Raw genomic sequence first — 15,192 nt, 5'->3', positions numbered from 1 at the left:
GAGAGATGGGCATGAAAATGAGCTTGCCGAGCACTAAGACCACAGACAAAAGCCATCCCTGCATCAACAGAGCCAGCAGCAAGCATTTGGCAGTGGGAAGGAGAGTGTTCAGACAAATCAGTTACCGAACATTCCATCATTCCACATGAGTAATCCCGTACACAGGTCCTGCACACCATCCTCAAAGATTAATGATGCTGACAGGAGGACACACGTCTCCCAGTAAAGGATTTCTACACTGGGCCAAGAAAACTGCAGGGTACCCGGAAAATGATTCGTAGGACACTGCAAGAAGTGGGATCTAGATAAGACTTAGATTAGAGACTGTATTACAGTTTTCAGAATGTAAATGTTCTTATTGGTTCATCAGAAAAAACTAAATCTTGATTTAAGAACCTCACTGTGTAGTATTTATAGTTTATTTTTTTGGATGGCAATAGATGCTAAGATAATAAGATGGGAATTTTATTCTAAAATAAATGATCAGTCATTTTTTAACATTTCCTTTTTAAAAACGACGTCGCAAGTTGTAGATACTTTCGCAATGTGTTAATTTTGTTTCAGCAGCAATAGGAAACTATCACAAACTTAACTGCTTAAAACAACACAAACTTACCTTATAGGTTGGGAGGTCAGAAGTCCAGAATGAGTTTCATTTGGCTAAAATCGGGTTTTCAGCAGGGCTGCTTTCTGAAATCTCGAATGGAGAATGTTTCCTTACCTGTTCTAACTTCCAAAGGCGGCCTTGGCTCCCTGGCTTATGGTCCTCCTCCATCTTCAAAGCCACAGTGTAGAACCTTCAGATCTCTCTCCCTTTCTGTCTCTCTCTTATCTCTACTTCCATCCTTACATTTCCTTTTTCTGACTCTGACCTTCTTGCATCCCCTTTATTAGAACCCTCGTGATTCCATTGGCCCACTTGGGTAATCCACGATAATTTCCCCACCTCAGTGCCCTTAGTTTAATGACATCTGCAAAGTCCCTTTTGCAAGGTAAGGTGACATATTCATGCGTTTTCGGGATTAAGACATAGGCATCATGGCATGTGTGTATGGGGGAATATTATTGTACCTACCACACAAGTTATAGAACAATGTTTGTTTGAAGTTTGTATCTACCTGACCTTTAATATAGGGTTTTGGTGCCCACCATGAATAAACTTACATAGGCACAACCTTTTACAGAATGTTTTACTATTAGGGCTGACTTCAGTCTCCATGAGTTATACCAAAGGGAGGGTTGTGGTGTGTGTGTGTGTGTGTGTGTGTGTGTGTGTGTGTGTGTGTGATTAGAGGTGGGACACGAGGACTATTTCAGGTGAGTAGCCCATTGGATAAGAAGTACTAAAACTACTTGTAAACTATATTTATTTAAAGATAAATAACTCTATGTTTTGTCTTAAACTCTATTAAGAAAAAATGTTTTTCCATAAGGGTCAACTCAGAAAACATATACTCTAACAAGTTACACTGGCTAGTTATAGAGTAGAAGAATGCCACTGAGAATTTGCCCAGCTTTTAGCTGCTAGAATATTAAGATAAGAACATGTTTGAGATGTAGTGATTTGAAGGCAATTGCTCGTATTTTGCCTCAAAATGAGGTCCCTGGTTATAAATGTAAAAAATAAGTAGAACGTGGTTTGTGATTCTCTGCTTTGGCTAAATTATTGATTACGTAAAGCCTAATGGTACCACCCATGAAAAATTATATTTTCATATATTGAAGTATTCTGTACATTTGTTACAACTCAACAGTAGCTACTAATATTTCAGCCAGAAATAGGATTACAGAGAATTGTAAGAAATTGCAGTTGTAAGAGAACAATGCTTAGAAATACGGGCACCAGAAATATGACTAACTGAGTTGAAATTCTTTATTCTACCATCTCTTGGTTGTGGGCATTGGTCATTTATTTCACTCCTTTATGTGTCAGGTTTTGTTGCTGGTGGTGGTTTTCAATATTTTTCATCTCCAAAGTACCATTTGACAGTACCTACTGTATAGAGTTTTACAAGGATTAAATGAATTGCTTAAAACAGTGATTAACACATAGAAAATACTCAAAGGATATTAAAATAAATAGTCCAAATTTGTCAATAATTCAACGTGTGACAGTTATAACGATGTCCTCATGAATGTTTTGTACCTAAATGCTTTAGAATTCTTGGCTAGCCTAAGATTATATTCAGTGATATATTCAAGCAACTTTCCATATTTTTGATAATTATAGTCTTCTACCAAATGTCTTTGGTGAATGCTATTATCATCGTCACATTGAAAAATTAAGAGAAATAATACATTAAACTATTAGAATCAGGAGACTTGCTCAAAGGATGTTAGCCTTTCCGGTCATGTGTTTCTATGGTGCTTACCTACGTGATTTAAATTCCAGACAACTATACCCTCATTTCCACCTCCACTACCAGTATTCACCAATTATAAGTGGTAAAACTTCAGTAGTGGTCATTAAATAATCTCCACTAAATGGGTAAAGTGTGTCATTTGTGATGTCACTTTAAAATGATATTTGGTATGAATCTCTGTCTTTGGGAATCCTTAGTCCAATATATTTTTTTAAATGTTCCTTTTTTCTCTGTATATCTAAAATAAAACAAAACTGGTTAGGCTGCTTTTGTTTTCTTGGAGTGAGAAACCACAAGAATGCACAACTCAACAGAATTTTCTCAAAGCAGCTCAAAATTCTCTCTCAGATTAATGGCAATGGGGCAGAAGACTTCAGTGGAAATGGTAATTTTAGGAGTTGTACAACTTATCATAGAACTTGATGGTTGTGAAGGTGGTTTGTTTTATGCATGGCATATGGGATCTGTTGATGAGTTTGGCATTGATGCCAGTAAACCAGAAAGAGACTTTGGATTAGTCGTTAGTGGCTGTCCCTCCAAATACCAAAGAATTGGAAATCCAAATTTCAAAGTTGTAGAAGAGCATAAAGAATGAGTATTTTCAACTGATGCTCAGTTACAATGACTAGAAAATATTTAAATGGATTGATGTGTTTCTTTTTTCAAAAATTTTTTGTAGCATCTTTGATGTACTAAAACGAAACAAACTGTTATATTTCAGCATTTTGGAAGCTGATTTTAAAATTCAGGTGTATTTTAAGAAAAATTTGTATGCGTACTTAAAATTTCTTCCCACATTACTCATCAAAACAATGTTCCGAAGTAGCTAAAGCTGTGTTTACATCATCTTCAGGGATTTGGGCTGTTGAAAGGAATAAAAGAATGTCACCAGGGCAACTATCTACACAGGGAGGGGGATTCAGGAACAAAATTTTACATGAATAAAGAAATAGCACAAAAGCCAATAGTATTTTGGTGTAAGAATATTCCCATTACTGGGGGAGGGGTTACCATAACAGAAGTAAAAACACTGGGAATATAATAGTAGCTCTAATTATGAAGTGCTAAATATTAACTCATTTAATCTTCACCACATTCCCTTGATGTAGGTACTACTTTTATGCAATTTTTACAGGTGAGAAAACTGAGATTTAGTTTGGCCCAGGGTTGTATAATGAGAGCTAAATCTCAAATCCAGCAATCTGAGCCCTTAAGCGTGGGTAGATAAAAGTTTAATATTTTTCTTCTGGGTTGTTTTACCTTTAATATTTTAGAGTCATTTTGTATAATTAAATAGGTAGGACTGAGTTGAAGTTTAAACAAAGACTTCACTCACTTTTCTGAAATATATCAGTATTTTTTCAACTGCTTCTATTCCTAGCATATTATTTGTACATGCTTTATCTCTACAGCTGAAGCTCGTATGAGGAATTTCCTAAATGTTAGTTATTTTTATATTCCTTATTGTCTGTTTTCTCTATGTATTTCTCATCACATACTTTCATATAATGATGACTGAAATATTTTCAAAAACAATGATGAATTAGTGGAGATATGTTATTTAAGGAGAATTTGAGATCTAACATGATGGGTTTAAAATAATAAGGTTTTCTTTAAAACCTTTAAAATCTTAAATTGTTTTCAGGGTTAAATACTATTTAACATTCCTAAGTTTATAGTTCAGTATAAATCCCTTAAGCGGTGACATTCAACTTGGTCAAATATATTTTCTACATCATTTGTTACAAGTTTACCTGCCTGGTCTAGGTATGCTTGTGAATACGAAATGAATAAAAAAATTTTCCTTTTGAGAATAAATACGTTGAATACAGACTAGATCATGCGAAAATTTAGAATTTTTCAGTCTTGAACAATATATGTAATTAAGTTTAGACCCTAGTGATTTATTAGTTGAAAATTATGGCAGTAATAATCTAGAACAAATAAACACAAAGCCTTTTAGATTTTTTTATATGCACTGCACAATTATTAAGCTTTTTAATTGATCTAAATTAGAGTTACTATTGTTGTATTAAAGTATATTGGGGAGTTTTTATTTTTTGACACTGTATTCTTGATTTTTATAATAGAAGATTTATAACAGTAAAATGATTGGAATCACATTAGGTCATTGGACACCTGAATCCATAGATAGTCCACTCTTGAGAAAAGAAATTAATTATTTCTAAGTCACTTAAAACTCAGAAGAACTAACTGTATACCTTTTCCAGTTGTGATTGAATTAGGGAAGGAGTAGTCATTTAGCTGCTACAAACCAGTTTTGGAAACACTATTTATCGTGTTATAGTTACTAAAGAAGACTTTTTACAAAATTGCAAATCTTTGTTGATAGTTTTTGGCTCCAAAACAAGTTTTTGATTGCTGACAAACCTAACCCCATCCCCCACGACACACGCACACCTCCCCCCACACAATTTTAAATAAGAATTTATGTAAAAACTTTGAAGGCTCTGAAACTATCTGAAAAACATCTGAATGATATCAACCTGTAGATTTGCACCATTCTTTCGTGCTGAAAGAACTCTGACTTGTGAAACAAGTCTCTGGGCCACTCTTTCAAGAAAGCTTTATTGTAAGTACACCACAGTGTCTGATTTCTAATCTTTGACTTGCCTATTTCTCTGACTAGACTGTCACTTGAGGGCTGAGAGTGAGTCTTAACCACTGTCTTTTCTGAGCCGTGTCAAGCCTATTGCATGGTAGGTGCAAAATACATAATAGATGAATGAATGAATGAATGAATGAATGAATGAAATGAATTATCCTTTCATTTCATCTTTCCTGATTTGTTTACAAATAATATACATAGGTTGTTCTACGCAGATGATGGCACTCTGATATCAGGGTTACTTAAAGGTATAACAAGCTTTACCATAAGGGATATAAAATTAAATGAGCCAAGGATTTTGCCGTTGGTGTTATGGTGGTGAGAGTAGGGTTTGAGTGTACAGAGGAGAATTTCAGGTAAAGCAGACATCAAACCATGGGTTTGTGAAGGTGCCTGGCATATGCAGAATTGGGTGAGAAAATCAGGTAGGCTATAACACAGGAGGTTTGGTGGAGAGTGACAAGAAAGAATGGTAGATAATGTGTTGAAGCTAGGTTATTATGGGTCTGAAATACCAAGGTGAGGCTTTTAGACTGTGGAACAAAGGAAATCAATGACAAGACAAGAAGAAATTGAAATAAACAAAATTCTGAATATGGCAGGAAGTCTTACTTGGAAAAATGCTTCAAGGGCTGGGCGTGGTGGCTCATGCCTGTAATCCCAGAACTTTGGGAAACGAAGGCAGTCAGATTGCCTGAGGTCAGGAGTTCAACACCAGCCTGGGCAACATGGTAAAACCCCTTCTCTACTAAAAATACAAAAAAATTAGCTGGGCATGCTAGCACGCACCTGTAATCCCAGCTACTTGGGAGGCTCAGGTAGGAGGCAGAGGTTCCAGTGAGCTGGGCTCTGAGATTGTGCCATTGCGCTCTAGCCTGGGCAATAGAGCAAGACTCTATCTCAAAAAAAAAAATGCTTCAAGGTCCTCATGAAGTATTTTGAAATGCTAACTGTACACAAAGAGTCCCTTGAGCGTGATGAGAAATGTATGTTAAGACTGTTGTTTGGCTCTCTTGATTTGGGTACCAGGCAAGCTTTTGGAGGGAAAGCTTTCTTTACAAAAAGTGAAAATGACCATTTGGAGGAGGTGTTTCAAAAAAATTCTTTCAGGAGGTCATGATTCCTCTAGAGAAAACGTATGTTTGCTTTTGTACAATAAACATATATTAACCTAATAAATAAATACAGGTCATTGTGTAGACCTTGGTCAAACTCTTTGCTCTTAGTTCTCTTTACTTTCTGACAAAATTGACCTTCCAAATTTGTTTACTCTTAAAATGTGACCTGGAACATCCATCATATAAAATTATTACTGCTAAACTGAAGGAAATGCAGATTGATCTATATCAAAGCAAAACCGTTATAGTGAAAGTATGGCCATCTTCCTGAATCTCTTAAAAAACACAAATATTTGTGGATTGCCTACTGTGTACCAAGCTTTTAATAGTTTTATGGTTTCTTCCATCTCTGTGAGCATATCTATTTTTTTTGATATTTAATGAATGAGTGAATGGAGGATGAATGTCAAAGTGGAGCTATTGCAAAAAAGGGGAGATTTTATCATATTATTTTGTAGCTTCTTTCTTCTTTTTTTCCTCCCACACTCTTTTCCAGATTCCCTTCCTCTCTGCCTTTCCTTCCTCTTCCCTTCCTTTCTTTCTTATTCTCAAATCAACATCTCCTGATACAATATGACAATGGATGTCTTAAAGGAAGCAAATAATAATGCAAATATAATTGCAGCATGTGTATTTATTATTTTTCCTGTGAAAATGGCAGATTGAAAAACTTTAAAACAGTAATTATTTCTATGCAAATAAATTCTGCTAAGTACAAATGATCCTTATCCGTTTTTTAAAACAAGCACAACAGGAATTTTACTTGGTAAATGTTTTTAGTATTTAGAGAGATTCTTTGTAGGAAATGTTAAATGAATCATGTCAATGAGTGAAAACAAAATGAAACAATCTCAACACATTTCATGACTACCAACTGGAAAGACAAAGACAAAAATTGTCCCCAGTGAAACTGATTTCTTACACTAGCATCTGCTTATTCTATATCTGCATCTTCAGCTAATGTAGATCTATAGATTAACAGAGAGATACTTTAAAATATAGTTGACAATATGTCTATACAGGACAATTCCTCAAGTAACAGATGTTCTAGGAGCTAATTCAGTTTATAAACTCATAGGATTGCAAAAGAGGATATGTAATCTGCTGATCACACTAATTTTTCTTGTGTCCATTCTTTGCATTTATTTTATTTGACTTGTAGAAATCCCACTTGATACAATACTCCAATGAATGAACTATGATGTTTGGAGTGGTATGCTGCAGTCAGATTATCTAAAGAGTATTTGAATCCATTGCAAAATGGAGATTATTATGTAGACATGGTTAAAATTAAACGAGCATACATTAATATATGTGTCCATAAAAAGAATAATGTGTAAGTTGTTACATATATGTTTCAATAAAATGTAATTATTGTATCATACACAAATACGGATATCATACACCCCCCTACTCACCCACAGCAACAGATAAGTTTTCTCCTATTCCTTAATCATTTTCATAAATAGTATTTGGTGAGTTTATTTTTGTTTTATAAAATAAATTCACATAGTTTACTTGGAATTTAAATGCTACATTTGGAGAAAGCACTTGAATTGGAAAAAAAATCCTTTATAATAGTCCATAATCAAACTCACGAAGAGCTTATTTTTTAAAAAACCTTATGGCTATAGTTATCTTGATATTTAGAAATAGAAATAATTTTTTAAGTTAATAAGTTATGGGTTTTGATTTTGTGGGGACAAAGCTAGTGAGAAGGAGAAATGTGCCTAAAAGTTATTATTATAATAAAAAGTTCTTTATGTGATTTTGAGTCTATTTCCTCACTATGAAGCACTGTCATAAATACTATTTACAATAAATTAACTCATGCAGTAAAAGAGATAAACTTTACTAAAAATGAGATATCCTAAAATCACATCAAATTTAATTTCGTATTATAACCATTTGTCTGGAGATTATTTTCTCCTTTTCTAAAACTATCCTGTTCTAAAAAATGTCTCTCCTCTTGTAAAATGCACATTACATGCACATGTATTCTAATTTGTGGGAAATAAGATGGAAAAGCACCAATTCTTAAAGCAAATTCATGAGTTTCTTCGTTTGAATTATATAACCATTTTGTGTTAGAAGCATTGCCTTAAATATAAATATGGAGTTGATTTGGAATATAATGTTGGGAGAATAGAGCTGAAAGGAAATATTGTACAATTACCATAAGTGGCTTTATTTACTTAAATAAATAATGAAGAATACTTGGGCTTAATTCAAGAATCAGCTAGTAGAGCTAAATAAACAAAATTGCCTTCTTCTTTAAAGTTAATTTAAAACTTCTTGTTGGCTGATTTATGCGACTTTCTGGAAATCATTGGACGTAATGCTTTATATGAGTTAGGGTGATTTCTACTATAACAAATAGAAAGGTCTCCTCTCAACTGACATTATATCATGAAAAAAGTGATTATCTCATATAAAAACGCATTCAGAGGCATTGCTGTTGAATACTAGTCAATAAAGCCAATAAGATCTGCTTAAATGCTTAAAAACCCACTAGCTGAAAAACAAGCGTTCACAGTTAATACTTTGGGCAAAATCAATGTTGTAGACTTCTTTGTCTCACTAATTATAGGCGAAAGTCTTATATAATTGTTATTTCTGATTGAAATCAGCTAGTTTTCAAATTAAGTAAAACACCCCTTCATGCACTCAATAAATACTTATTGATTGCTCACCTTCTGCAACTTTGTGAAGTACAGAATGTTTCATAGTTAGAGTGCAATTTTAATGCCATCTTTTGAAGATAAATTATGATATGGGAATCAACAAATAGATATTATTTCAAAGCTCCAAGGGTAATGCTTTATATATGCTGATGATCTTTGTTTAGAAAGGACTGTGTTCACCATTCTTTGAAAAATTCTACCTTCCTTTCATTTTGGGTAAGCAAAATACTGATTACAGTTTTTACATTTATGAGTAGATCATGAGTGGAAGTCTGGTTTAAGGAAAAGTACTTAATACCCGACTGGAGCCAGTATTTATATCAGCGTTATATTTGGAGACTATTTCTCTTTGGACTACTACATGCGAGAGAAATTAACTTTTTTTTTTTTTTTTTTTTTTTTTTTTTTTTTTTTTTGGTACGGAATCTTCCCTCTGTTGCCCAGGCTGGAGTGCAGTGGCACGATCTCTGCTCACTGCAAGCTCCGCCTCCCGGGTTCATGCCATTCTCCTGGCTCAGCCTCCCGAGTAGCTGGGACTACAGGCGCCCTCCGCCATGCCCGGCTAAGTTTTTTTTTTATTTTTTTATTTATTTTTTATTTATTTATTTTTTTTATTTTTAGTAAAGACGGGGTTTCACCGTGTTAGCCAGGATGGTCTCATCTCCTGACCTCGTGATCTGCCCACCTCGGCCTCCCAAAGTGCTGGGATTACAGACGTGAGCCACCGCGCCCAGCCGAGAGAAATTAACTTGTATGCTGCTTAAATAGTATTATTTTGGACTTTGCTTTAACATAAAGAAAAGCTAAAAAATACAGTGTGTTTAAAATATTCATAAGTCATGCATTTTACATACAAAGTTATAGTAGCCAGAAATGATCATTAACCAAGTTGCAGATCTTGAGGCTTTAGATTACTTCATCTTATCATAAATAACTCTGTAGTCTGTCTGAGTATGTAATTATGCCTTCATGTAGTCTTCAGGATGTCTCAAGCAGTGTGGTCCAACAGAACTTGGGGCAGTGATCGAAGAGGATGTATTCTGTGCTGTCCAAGATGGTAGCCCTGTTTCTCTTCTGTTTTCTTCTCATTTGCCCTTCTTGAAGAAGTCATGCATGACTAGACAGATATAAAGATATCGAGGCAATAAATAGATTTCTCATATATCAAGTGAGTAGATATAGAAAAAGAGTAAACAAGTAGGAACATACATGTAAGTCAAACTAGATATCTTGCAGTGTCTCAGTGAGTACTTAAAACTTCATGGTGAACACGGTATATTTTTCTGATGCAGCAGCTTTTACAATTATTTTGGTGGAACTAATTATGTTAAAAACCAACACATTTTTTAATTCTCATACATTTCTAGTGAAACCTCAGAGCTTTGGCTCTTTAGTAAAAATCTGCTGTTGTTAATTCTTCAGTGGAAATTTTCAGGAGTATCCTGCAGAAGACAGACTTCAAGCCCTGGCTTTCCCTCTATTTTTTCCTCCTAACTTTGATCTTTTAATGCCTAACTTTGCTTCAGAGAGTGTGTGAGGTTTACCTAGTTCCCAATTAAAATTGCCCTGATGATTATACAGATACTGCTCCAAAATTTTGAGATCCATTTTCCACCTTGTATGTAGCAGGGTGATATTTGCATCTGGAGCTAAAAAGCAACCTGGGAGATGAAGAGAGCCTTGAGGTAATAGGGCATTTACAGTCTAATTGCCTAGAGACTCCCCAGTTACAGTCTCCATTTGCCAGTCAGGAGACAGACAGCATGTGTATCTAGAATTTTGGTGGGAATTTAATAAAGTGAATACAAAGGGAACGCGTGATGAATGTTTGTTGAGGCATACAGAGATTAGCAACAGTTGGAAGCCATTACAAGGCTGCAGGTAAAAGGAAGAATCAACATCACCCGATATTACCAAAGCCTGACACTTTAATAATTATAGGTTATATTTAAAATCTTAGACTCGACCCGTGGCTTCCGCTTCCGGAACACCAAAGCAGGAAGGGTGTGTGTGAAGAAATCGCCTGCTCTCTCTTCCCTCACCTCTCAGTTTCCTGCTGGGGACTCCCGTTGCCTGAACCTAGTGAGGCCAGAGTGCAAGAGATCTAGGGTGATGAAATCCTTCGGGACCAGTCTCCCGAGGCCTGGTGTAGGACAAAAGAAAAAAAAAAGGAGAAAATGCATGAGAGGTGAAGAGTAACTGGAAACTCATGCCCGATACAACTTCTCAGATTTGCCACAGAAGGAAGCATTTTTTAAATTAGGCAGCCTTTTCTATTTTGGGGATATAGAGATGCAGCTGTTTCAGTTTTTCAAATCGGTGTGAGTTTGATTCTATGATACTTGCATGTTCGTGTCCTAACTACAACTAACATGCACCGTGTTTGTTTTAAATATAATTGAAAATTTTAAAAGCATAAGGTAATTATTATGAAATACATTTTGGTTTCCTACCAGAAGTTCTACTAGTGACAGTATATATGATGAAGAATTTATAATTACAATTCATTTTTATGAGCAAGCATATTAAGGAGAATTAAATGTTTTAAACATAATTGTTGCAGAAGTTACAGAAAATGTGTAATTGGAATGTGCTGTTGAAACGGAAAATAAATAAAAAATATATTATTTCAGCACTATAAAAGTAGTTAACTGCTTTTCCACTCTACCTTTCAGTATCTAAGTAGTTTGTACATCATTCTTTCTTACAATAATTCTTCCTTCTCTTTGCTTTACACAGACCTTTATTACTCTGTGCAGTATGTAGTAATTACACTTGATCCCTTAAAATATTTTGAAGTAATAAATGCTAGCTAGTAAAGTTAATTTTTGTGAACTGTGAGATTTTGTGAGAACAGATCATAAGTTGTAACTAAGCATTACCATAATGCCCAGTAATGCTAGCTATCTTTTATTTAGAATCAAAATCTCTAGCAATTATAAATAGTTGGGAAAGCTATCCCGGTATATTTTCATAAGTAACATAGATGGCAAGTAAACAAGAAGATATTAGTGATTTTTCTTCCCCAAATGGCAACATAAAGAATATGTCATAGGATCATTTTGGCTTTAACCCAATCCCCTGAAACTTTCACATCTAAATTAAAGCCCTCTAATCAGTAACACACAAAATGATGCAGAGACAATATAAGATCACATGACATCTCTGAGTTATCAAAGGTACAGTGTATTATGCAGTCAAGTGCCATAGAGTGAAGTTTTGGTTAATGATGGACCACATATACCATGGTGATACCATAAACTTATAATGGACCTGAAAAATTCTAATATCTGGTGATGTCCTTGCCATCAAAATGAAGTATTACAATACATTTCTCATGTGTTTGTAGTAATGCTGGTGTAAACAAAGCTACTGTGTTGCCAGCTGTATGACAGCCTAGCATAGAAAATTATGTACAGTATATAATACTTGATAATAAATGACTATGTTACTGGTTTATGTATTTACTATACTATTGATGCATACTTTAGAGTGTAATCTTTCTACTTATAAAAAAAGTTAACTGTAAAACAGCCTAAGGCAGGTCCTTCAGGAGGTATTTCAGAAGAAGGCATTGTTATCCTAGGAGATGACAGCTCCATGCCTGTTACTGCCCCTGAAGGGTTTCCAGTGGGACAAGATGCGGGGGATGAATGACAGTGATGTTGATAACCCTGATCCTGTGTAGGCCTAAGCCAATGTGTGTGTGTCTTTGTTTTTCACAAAAAAGTTTAAAAAGGTAAAATTAATATTGAAAATTTTAAAAGCTTAAAGATATAAAGAAAGAAAATATTTTTGTATAGCCGTACAATGTGTTTGTGTTTTAAGCTGTTATTACAACAGCCGAAAAGTTTAAAAAATTATAACCTTGATAAAGTAAAAAAGTTTCAGTAACCTGAGATTTATTTTGAAGATAAAACAATTTTTAAAATAAATTTTGTGTACTTTAAGTGTACAGTTAGTTTATAAAGTCTACGGTGGTATATAGTAATGTCCTAGGATTCAACATTCACTCACCACTCACTGAGACTCACCCAGGGCAACTTCTAATCTTGCAAGCTCCATTCATGGTAAGGGTCCTATACAGGTGTGCCACTTAAAAAAATCTTTTATGCTGTATTTTTACTGTACCTTTTTATGTTTAGATACACAAATACCTACCATTTAGTTAAAGTTGCCTCTGGTATTCAGTGTAGTAACATGCTAAACATGTTTGTAGCCTAGGAGTAATAGGCTGTACCATTTATTCTTTGGTATGTAGTAGGATCTATTATCTAGGTGTGTGCTTAAGTATACCCTATGTTGTTTTCACAATGAAAAAATCGGTAATGATGCTTTTTCAGGAACGTATGCCCATTGTTAAGGGGCACATGACTGCATTATATTTAGTATAATGCTAATCTATATTTTAGTGAATTATAGTTTGATAATCTAGGTTTGTTGTATTTTTTGGTCAGTTAACCTAAGAATTAAGGATATTATTGGCATCTGGAAAAACATTTGTGAAATATCAGGTACACATATTTAGTTTTATGTGATGATGAAAAATGTATTTTGCTAGATAGAGGAGTCTACTTCAAGATATTTACTCTTCCATGAATTTCGGAATGAATAAAATGGTTTCCTCTATTTTTTCAAGGATTGTCCTATGAATGGATACTCAGTGATGAGTGCACCATTCTATGGCTTACCCACCATCGTTTGAGGACTTTTTCTCACTGCATAAGATGTAACACAGGTTCAAAAATTGAAAGTTGAAAATTAAAAGCATTAGAAGAAGGTATCAGAAGAGTAGGAAAAGTTCACCTCCCCAAATAATCTCATGTTATTTTTTCCTCTAAATCTAAATATAACACTTCACCTTATAAATTTTTATCTGTTATTCACCTAATGGAGTTATGAATTATACAGACAGAAACACAAATGTATGTAGGTACTTACTTCCCATAACAACTGTTCAGTTAGTGACCTCTTGCCCTAGCGACTTTCGAAAAGTTATCTGCTTTTTAGGTGACTTTTTTTTAGCGTATCAAAATGTTCACTGCAATATATATTAAGTATATCTGAAGAACTGATATTTCAACATAATGGTTTGAGGCAAAGACACAAGCACTTATTTGCTTGACACTACAGTTTCTAGTAAGAGAATATCATCACACAGAACAAATTTGTATCTCACACTGTTTGTATGAGCTGAAACATTTTAGTTTGCCAAGCAAACGTTGAAAAGACTTCTCAATTTCATGGGAACACATGCTATTTTATTTGGGTATCTAGGCTCTGTCATATTTGGTCTTTAGCCCTTAGGTGTTTTTTCTGTGGTATATCTTTATTCTTAAGTATAATTCAAATATAATTATAAACTCTTAAGTAGAAAAAAAGGTGAAGAGCGAGGTGCAGAAAGTAAAAAGAATAAATCTTTATTCTAATTTGTATAAAAAACTATTTTCAAGTTAATATTTTCACTTACATAACTTGTTTTCTTTATTTAATAAACATTTTTCCTGTAAAAATTGTTTGGGCATTTTGTATTGAAATAAAACACAGTGTAATTTTTTCTCATTAAAAGTTCTTGGATTTCTTTTTTCTTTTAATGGCTTTTTATTGAGTGGCAAGATTTTCAGGAATCAATTAACATTGCTAATTGAAAGATGGCAATAGTTTGTATGTGTATGAATGTAAATTTACCTTCATTTGGGCATATCTATTTTTTATCCTTTGTTGTTCTAGTTTGCCATGAAATACAGTTTATGTGCTGGTATCCTGTCTTTTTCCCTCTCTTTTTTTTTTTTGAGATGGAGTCTCGCTCTGTTGCCCAGGCTGGAGTGCAGTGGCATGATCTCGGCTCACTGCAAACTCTGCCTCCTGGGTTCATGCCATTCTCCTGCCTCAGCCTCCTGAGTAGCTGGGGCTACAGGCGCCCACCACCATGCCCGGCTAATTTTGTTTGTATTTTTAATAGAGATGGAATTTCAACATGTTAGCCAGGATGGTCTTGAACTCTTGACCTCATGATCCGCCTGCCTTGGCCTCCCAAAGTGCTGGGATTACAGGCGTGAGTCACCATGCCCAGCCTTTCCCTCTGTTTTTTTTTTTAACTTGTTCTTTGTATCAGTGCTAAATTTGTGACCCCTTCATATGTAGATTAGAATGAGTATTGTTTTTGATCAAAGAGAGCATTTACAAAAAAACAAAGCAATAAAAGAGCAGATGTAGAATAATTTCCAGACTAAGTCTTCCTTTTAGGACATGTTACTGAGCCCTAAAATATGTAATATGGCAAGTAATATTTTGTAAAGGGACTATCAAATCAATATACCAACATGTTAAAGTGTCTTCAGTAGCTTTACACAATGGCTTTTATATAGCCAGTGGAAAAGACAGTATTTATTCATCTG

General features: G+C 34.5%; 1 protein-coding gene across 4 annotated transcripts in view, besides 1 other annotated feature; it reads left to right on the top strand.

Annotated features, from left to right (window-relative positions):
* The window catches only part of SGCZ (sarcoglycan zeta), a 1,153,587-nt gene that overhangs the window by 42,959 nt on the left and 1,095,436 nt on the right, over positions 1-15,192 (top strand). The window lies entirely within an intron of this gene.
* Positions 10,095-11,294: an enhancer, noted in NCBI's record as "CDK7 strongly-dependent group 2 enhancer chr8:15041688-15042887 (GRCh37/hg19 assembly coordinates)". NCBI's record gives its function as "activates an origin of replication core promoter dependent on BRD2, BRD4, P300/CBP, MED14 and CDK7 cofactors, with strong dependence on CDK7, by STARR-seq in HCT116 cells {active_cell/tissue: HCT116}" and the evidence as "EXISTENCE:reporter gene assay evidence [ECO:0000049][PMID:35650434]".

The sequence above is a fragment of the Homo sapiens genome, chromosome 8, assembly GCF_000001405.40.
Source record: "Homo sapiens chromosome 8, GRCh38.p14 Primary Assembly".
Lineage (NCBI taxonomy): Eukaryota > Metazoa > Chordata > Mammalia > Primates > Hominidae > Homo > Homo sapiens.
This window is presented reverse-complemented; position numbering and strand designations above follow the sequence as displayed.